This window comes from Homo sapiens, chromosome 2 (genome assembly GCF_000001405.40).
Source record: "Homo sapiens chromosome 2, GRCh38.p14 Primary Assembly".
In the NCBI taxonomy this organism is placed as follows: Eukaryota; Metazoa; Chordata; class Mammalia; order Primates; family Hominidae; genus Homo; species Homo sapiens.
Genome location: NC_000002.12, coordinates 76,000,980 through 76,009,505, shown reverse-complemented (window position 1 = coordinate 76,009,505; position 8,526 = coordinate 76,000,980). Strand labels below are relative to the sequence as shown.

General features: G+C 36.5%; 1 annotated feature.

The window, feature by feature from the left end:
* Positions 1,049-1,098: an enhancer, noted in NCBI's record as "active region_16094". NCBI's record gives its function as "activates an Ori minimal core promoter by ATAC-STARR-seq in GM12878 lymphoblastoid cells {active_cell/tissue: GM12878}" and the evidence as "EXISTENCE:reporter gene assay evidence [ECO:0000049][PMID:35858748]".

Here is an 8,526-nt window from a genome sequence, read left to right as displayed (position 1 = left end):
CTTGGAAAGAATACTGATGCTGAAGGAAGGACAAATGTTAGCGAAAGGAATAAAGTGGATGATAAATTCTGAGCATTATTGGTTTGCTTTGCTTTTCAGAGAACCTAGAGAAATTCTTGCCACAGCAATTTTTGTGCAGAATCCAACTGCAAATACAAAAGTAATTTATTAGGAACCACCATACTGAAAAATTTTCTTCAGTCTATTAATTAATCAGTAACTAAGGATTTGTGTTGGTGGTATTAAATAAAAACTGAGGTCCCCCTATAGATATATTCCAAGACCAACAGCACATAGCCATGTAGTCAAAAGTTATCTTGAGTTCCCTGAAACACTAGCTGTAATCATAAAAGAAACAAAAACTGTCAGCTTTACATCCTTGTTAGCATGATTCAATGAAATTAAACTAATCAGCTATAGACAAATCAGATTAAACAGCTTTGCTTGCCTTACAAAGAATATTAATATATAATAGTCAATCACAAGAAAGGTCAAAATACTTCCTCCTTTATGCTTCAAAAAATTGTGCTGTAACTGCTGTGAGTGGGGCTTACCACTTTTGGTAAGTCCTTGTGGTTGGTGAAATGTTCCTTTGTATGCATGATACACTTTTAAATTTCTTCCCATTCGATCTAATTTTGGTTTTGACAGTTTGAATAAGAGATGTCTTATTGAAATAGGTAAATTATAATGACAATAGAGTGAGGCATAACTTATATGAATAATCCTGGAATGGATGAAATATTAAACTTGAAATCAGTTCAGCAGATTGCTCTCTAGAATATTTCTTGGGGAAAATAACAAAATCAACCAATGAGTATCTATTGAGTAATGTGAGTACAGCAATGTCCTAGGTACACTAAGGGAAAGAAAAATATCAGACAGCCAGACATAAATATAAACAGCATGCTAAAGTGGAAAGAAAAGCCTAGAGGTACAGCAGAAGTTTAGTAAATGTCTGAGTAGTCAAAAGGAAACTGAAAAAACCATTGAAGTGGCATCATTGCCTGGGGTAAATACACGGAGCTCGCTGTCTCGCACCAAGCAGATTAAGGACATGAACACACATAAGAAATGAGTTTAGGAGTGGAGGTTTAATAGGCAAAAGAAAAAGAAAGGAGAATAGCTCTCTCTCTCTTGTGAAAGAGAGGGGCACCTGAAAGAGAAATCTGGCCCATGGGGAAGTGCACCGGATTTTATAGACAGGCTTGAGGAGGCAGTGTCTGATTTACTAGGGCCCACAGATTGGTTGGACCTGGTGTGACATTTACAGAGCACATAGGGAAGGCTGGCCGCCCCACCCTAATCTTGTTATGCAAATGGACTTTCCACTTGGCAGCCAGCGATGTTGTCTGCTCCTTACTGTACACGTGGCTGGCAAAGAGAAGGGAACATAGAGCTACTGTTTTGAATATGCCTAGTCCCAGGTAGCCTTTTCCTGTTGGCACAACTGCCACCATTCACCTTTGCAAGCTACCAGCTTGCTTGTCTAAGTCTGCAGCTCAGTTTTACAGGCTACTCTTCGTTGAAAAGAAAATGACTGGGAGGCTGCTTTTCATTAAAAGGAAAACCTTACCAAGGACTTCCTTACCCTCACTGTCGGCCTAGATAATTTCTTCTTCACTCTTATATCACCATCATCATATGAGAAAACTGTGACCTACAACTCTTGGCTTTTGACAAATTAAGAGAAATAAAAAAAATTAGATGCCTAGAATAGTAACACTTTGAATTAAATTTAATAGGCATATCTACATTAAATTATATACCCTCTACATATCACACTTATACTCTATTCAAATGTCAATGAAATATTTACACAAATAGTTCACAAACTCAGCCATAAAGCAAACTTCAGTACATTTTAAAGTATAGAAGTTGTACAGTTTATATTTACTGACCTCAATGCTATAAAACATAATGGCAAAGAAATCAAAATCAAAATAGCAAATAGAGTACAGCACTCTGTTAAAGTACAATACACTGTGACCAAAGCAGTTTTGTTTCAGAAGTACGAATGGTTCAATATCATAAACATTATCAATATAATTCATTGCTTTTATAAGTCAAGAAGAAAAACTCAGCATTCCCTTTTGACTTTTTACAGCTTTAGGTAAGTCAAAGGTAATATCTAAGATGTGCCAAATAATATTAATACCAAAAAAGCAACTAACATGATACTCAATGTTAAGTCAAAGGTGAAACCCAAGACTTTTTCATTGGAATAAAAAAGAAACAAAGAAATTGACCTAAACACAGCAGTATTATCTACTGTTGTTCTGAAATTTAAGACATAGCAAGCACAAATATTGACAAAAAAGCATTATTATTTGCAAATATGACTGTCTACCTTGAACATTCCTTTGAGAATCACTGAATAAATATTGAAATCAATAAATGTGTTTAGGATGGTGTCTATAAAATAATGATGCAAAAAATTAACAGTAACGATGAGGTGCATATAAAATTATAGAATATTTTAGTCTCTAGTGCAGTCTCAATAAAATCACTAACCAACTCCAACATACTGGAGAGGAAAAAATACCCATTGTTTACAACTTCTCAGTATTTTCTGGTACGAAAAAAATTATGGAAGATGTACTTTTATGTCTCTGGGATGTACAATGGGAAGATCAAAATGTAAACATGTCTGAAATGTATTTTAGTGGCATCTCATAATATTTATAACTGATCTTATTTTGCTCTTGATACCCGACTCCTTATGATGATAGAAGAAATAGCTTAAACTTGGTAATTCAAAGAAATTAGTCCTCTTTTAGTTCATAAATTTCCTCTCTTAGTCACATTGGGAAACTATTTAATTCAAACTTTAATCTTCCTAACAGGGCTGTTTTTCTTGCTTTAGGAGGATTTCTTCACCCTTTGTCCTTCCCATGACATCTGGATTCATGGGAAAATTTACAGAGCATTGTTGTGTGAAGAGGAGCTTTGAAACCATTTGCTCACCTATGGGTTTTAACTGGTTTATATACAGTGGTGTTTTTGTCTGGACCTTGAGAGTCTAACACCAGAACCTGTTAAGTGTAGCTGGTCCCTCCTGATTTCCTATTACTTTTGTTCTCTTTCTCTGTCTCCTTACCCTCTCACCAGTCATACATCTAAATACATCTCCCTCATATTCCATAATTTTTTCCCACACAAACAAAGGGGATTTTCTTTGTAATGTTAGAAACTAATACACCAAAAGCAACAGAAAAACTTCTAAACCAGGTCTTCACTGGACACTGCCACCATGAGAAAAAAACGTATGCCTCAGTAGAGAGCTATGTATTATCTAGACTCCAGAATCTCTCTCTGGGTTATCTGATTATGATTCTACAGAAGCTATTCTACAACTCTAAATGGAGAGTAACTGATAGCAATGCAAAATAATTCTTGTCTAAACACATGTAAATTCCATCCTGCCCAGTAGAGGTTCAATTGACTCAATTGACACTGACTTAGATGGTCATTCTTTTTTGATGCTAAATGTTTTCTACTGTCTGTTTTCTTCTATTTCTTCATCTTTGTAATCGTCCCTAACAGGAAACCCAGTTTTGCTTCAATTTTCACAGTCATATTAATATTTCCAATCTATGTATTTTTCTGTTCTTTGGATTCTCTTTTGACCCAGTTTTAACATCTACTTATTTCCTCATTAAGTATGAGTTCAATAAAATCTTTAATTTGTATTCATTTTTATATCTATCTGAGAGTCATGATTTTACCCTTTACTGAAAATTATCTTTTCATAACATTGTTGTATTCCAGGACTCTACATTCTACTCTATTATCTCAGATACTGAGGCCCTAGCACTTTGGGGAACTGCACCTATGGGAATTTCAGACAAGTGAAAGTATCCTGCAGGGAAATCTGTAAGAAAAAAAAAACATTCTCTTGTCCAAAAGGGACTATCAGAATTTAATAGGAAAAAATCCCACGAAGTTTTGGATTAGCATTGATTATGGAGATGAAGACACAAAATGGTAATGCTTGATTTATTTGATTAGGCTTTATTCCTCAGTAGATGAATAAGTTTGTGGTGAGCAGAGCCTGTGAGGCAGGCCTCAAAGCAAATATATTGTCCAACTAGAGCTAGGTGACAGGAACCTCGTTTCAGTGACAACATGATAGACTGGTATAATACAACCCAATGGTACACTGGTTTCTCAATCCTGAGGATAGTTAATATCCTCCAAAGCATTTCACCAATTCTATAGCACTACAACACATCATAAAGTAGCTAATTTCTTATTTCCCAGAGGAAGTTGATCCGAATTTATGTCCAACAGCATATCAAGAAAGCTTCCAATTCTGACAAAAGCTCTGGCATTTACTGACGAATAGCTGTTGAAATAGAGATTCTTCGGTAAAAAATGAATCCTTTCTAATCAATTCAGAAAACTAAACTTACTGCATCCATTGGAGAAACAGATATTAGGGTGGATATTTATCTTTTGTCAAAACCTCACCCATTACTTTGGGAAGTAATTCCCTATACAAAGTGCTGAAAATAAGGGGTCCCAGAAACTGTGGTCTGTGATGGGTTGAGGTTCTGGAGGTCAAAGAATAAATACATTGCATATCATGCAAACTATAGTGGTGTCTACACTTGGACTAATTTTTTTTTATTATTATACTTTAAGTTTTAGGGTACATGTGCACAATGTGCAGGTTAGTTACATATGTATACGTGTGCCATGCTGGTGTGCTGCACCCATTAACTTGCCATTTAGCATTAGGTATATCTCCTAACGCTATCCCTCCCCACTCCCCACACCCCACAACAGGCCCCAGAGTGTGATGTTCCCCTTCCTGTGTCCATGTGTTCTCATTGTTCAATTCCCACCTATGAATGAGAACATGCGGTGTTTTTTTGTCCTTGCAATAGTTTATTGAGAATGATGACTTCCAATTTCATCCATGTCCCTACAAAGGACATGAACTCATCATTTTTTATGGCTGCATAGTATTCCATGGTGTATATGTGCCACATTTTCTTAATCCAGTCTATAATCGTTGGACATTTGGGTTGGATCCAAGTCTTTGCTATTGTGAATAGTGCCGCAATAAACATACGTGTGCATGTGTTTTATAGCAGCATGATTTATAGTCCTTTGGGTATATACACAGTAATGGGATGGCTGGGTCAAATGGTATTTCTAGTTCTAGATCCCTGAGGAATCGCCACACTGACTTCCACAATGGTTGAACTAGTTTCCAGTCCCCCCAACAGTGTAAAAGTGTTCCTATTTCTCCACATCCTCTCCAGCACCTGTTGTTTCCTGACTTTTTAATGATTGCCATTCTAACTGGTGTGAGTGGTATCTCATTGTGGTTTTGATTTGCATTTCTCTGATGGCCACTGATGGTGAGCATTTTTTCATGTGTTTTTTGGCTGCATAAATGTCTTCTTTTGAGAAGTGTCTGCTCATGTCCTTCGCCCACTTTTTGATAAGGTTTTTTGTTTTTTTCTTGTAAATTTGTTTGAGTTCATTGTAGATTCTGGATATTAGCCCTTTGTCAGATGAGTAGGTTGTGAAAATTTTCTCCCATTTTGTAGGTTGCCTGTTCACTCTGATGGTAGTTTCCTTTGCTGTGCAGAAGCTCTTTAGTTTAATGAGATCCCATTTGTCAATTTTGGCTTTTGTTGCCATTGCTTTTGGTGTTTTAGACATGAAGTCCTTGCCCATGCCTATGTCCTGAATGGTGATGCCTAGGTTTTCTTCTAGGGTTTTTATGGTTTTATGTCTAACGTTTAAGTCTTTAATCCATCTTGAATTAATTTTTGTACAAGGTGTAAGGAAGGGATCCAGTTTCAGCTTTCTACATATGGCTAGCCAGTTTTCCCAGCACCATTTATTAAATAGGGAATCCTTTCCCCCTTGCTTGTTTTTCTCAGGTTTGTCAAAGATCAGATAGTTGTAGATATGTGGCATTATTTCTGAGGGCTCTGTTCTGTCCCATTGATCTATATCTCTGTTTTGGTACCAGTACCATGCTGTTTTGGTTACTGTAGCCTTGTAGTATAGTTTGAAGTCAGGTAGTGTGATGCCTCCAGCTTTGTTCTTTTGGCTTACGATTGACTTGGCGATGCGGGCTCTCTTTTGGTTCCATATGAACTTTAAAGTAGTTTTTTCCAATTCTGTGCAGAAAGCCATTGGTAGCTTGATGGGGATGGCATTGAATCTATAAATTACCTTGGGCAGTATGGCCATTTTCACGATATTGATTCTTCCTACCCATGAGCATGGAATGTTCTTCCATTTCTTTGTATCCTCTTTTATTTCATTGAACAGTGGTTTGTAGTTCTCCTTGAAGAGGTCCTTCACGTCCCTTGTTAGTTGGATTCCTAGGTATTTTATTCTCTTTGAAGCAATTGTGAATGGGAGTTCAATCATGATTTGGCTCTCTGTTTGTCTGTTATTGGTGTATAAGAATGCTTGTGATTTTTGTACATTGATTTTGTATCCTGAGACTTTGCTGAAGTTGCTTATCAGCTTAAGGAGGTTTTGGGCTGAGACAATGGGGTTTTCTAGATATACAATCATGTCATCTGCAAACAGGGACAATTTGACTTCCTCTTTTCCTAATTGAATACCCTTTATTTCCTTCTCCTGCCTAATTGCCCTGGCCAGAACTTCCAACACTATGTTGAATAGGAGTGGTGAGAGAGGGCATCTCTGTCTTGTGTACACTTGGACTAATCTTAAGACTCCAGAGACCCAAACATTGGCAACATTGAGATAGATAAAAGACCTAAGTAGAAATTTTACTACTGTATATTTACTATTCAAAATATTTAGTAAATCTTCACTACAACAATGTATTAAGTGGTTTGGGCGTGGCTTAGAACCCCACAAATCTTAGAGAGTTTTGGATGAGATTTTAAATGATACAGCTTAGACATATATTGTGGTAAAGTATGTTTACATGAATATCCTCCTAGACCTGGCGAAACAGAACCTGGGGATCAAGAAAAGGCCTTGTCCGATGACTACCTGATATGTAGTTGCTGGATGACAATAGTGGGAGGAATGATGTCCCACAGAATCTTTGTATACTGTCGGTGAGAATGCAAACTAATACAATCAGTGTGGAAAACAGCATGGAGATTCCTCAAAAAATTAAAAATAGAAATATCGAATGACCCAGCAATCTCACTACTGGGTAAATCCAAAGGACATAAAATCTAGGTATCTGCACTCCTGTTTATTGCAGCATTAGTCGCAATAGCCAAGATATAAGATCAATCTAAGTGTCCATCAAAGGATAAATGGATAAAGAAAATATGGTACCTATACACAATGAAATACTATTCAACCTTTAATAAAAAAGGAAATGCTGTCATTTTTGACGACATAGATGAACCTAGAGGACATCATGCTAAGTTAAAGAAACCAGGCACAGAAAGACAAATACTGCATGATCTCACTTACTTGTAGACTTTAAGAAAGTATAAATCAGAAACAGTGAATAGAATGGTGGTTAACAGAGGCTGGGAATAGGAAGATTGGGAAAATGTTGGTCAAAAGATGAAATTTCAGTTAGATGGAAGGAATAAGTTCAAAAGATCTACTGTAGGTCACAGTGACCATTAGTTAATCACAGTATATTGTATACTTGAAAATTGTTAAGAGAGTAGATTTCACATGTTCTCACCACAAAAAAAAAAAAAGTGTGTGAGGTAATAAGTATGTTAGGGACTTGATTTAGCCATTCTATAATGTATACATACATCAAAACATCATGTTGTATATTACAAATATATACCATTTTATCTGTCAATTTAAAAACATTAAAAATAATGAAAAGAATCGTGTTCCACCAAAAGACATGTGAATGTGATCTTATTTGGAAATCAGATCTTTAAAAATGTAATTAAGATGAGGTCATACTAGATTAGGGTGGACTCATGTCTTTATGAAGAAAAAAAAAAAGAAAGGAAATAAAGCTCACCCCAAGGGTAGTTTGTAGCGTCCAAGTAATCTTTGTGGATTTATCTTTCTTTATCTTGACAACTCTCTCTGCTTTCACAGATACTAAGTTCTCTCAGAAGTCATTGGAAATGCAAATTCAATATTTTCCATAGTTGCATGCATTTCTCATAAAAACTCTGCTTCATAGGAAGACACTGATTCAGATCACATGCTCCCTTAGACGCACAGGGAGAATGTCATGTGAAAATGCAGAGTACACACACAGAATGAGAACACCATGGGATGACAGAGGTAGAGATTAGTGATGTGTCCACAAGCCAAGGAATGCCAAGGATTGCCAACAACCACCAGAAACTAGGAAGAGGCAAGAAAGGATCCTCCCCTAGAGCATTCAGTAGGGGTGTGGCCCTGCTGACACCTGGATTTCAGATTTCTGGCCTCAAGAACTGTGAGAAAATTAATTTCTGTTGTTTTAAGCTACATCATTTGTGGTACTTTGTTGCAGCAGTTCTAGGAAACTAATATAATGGCATAGTTCTGTAGCGTGTGTATAATATGAATACTTTGTAAGGGGAGTTGAGTCAG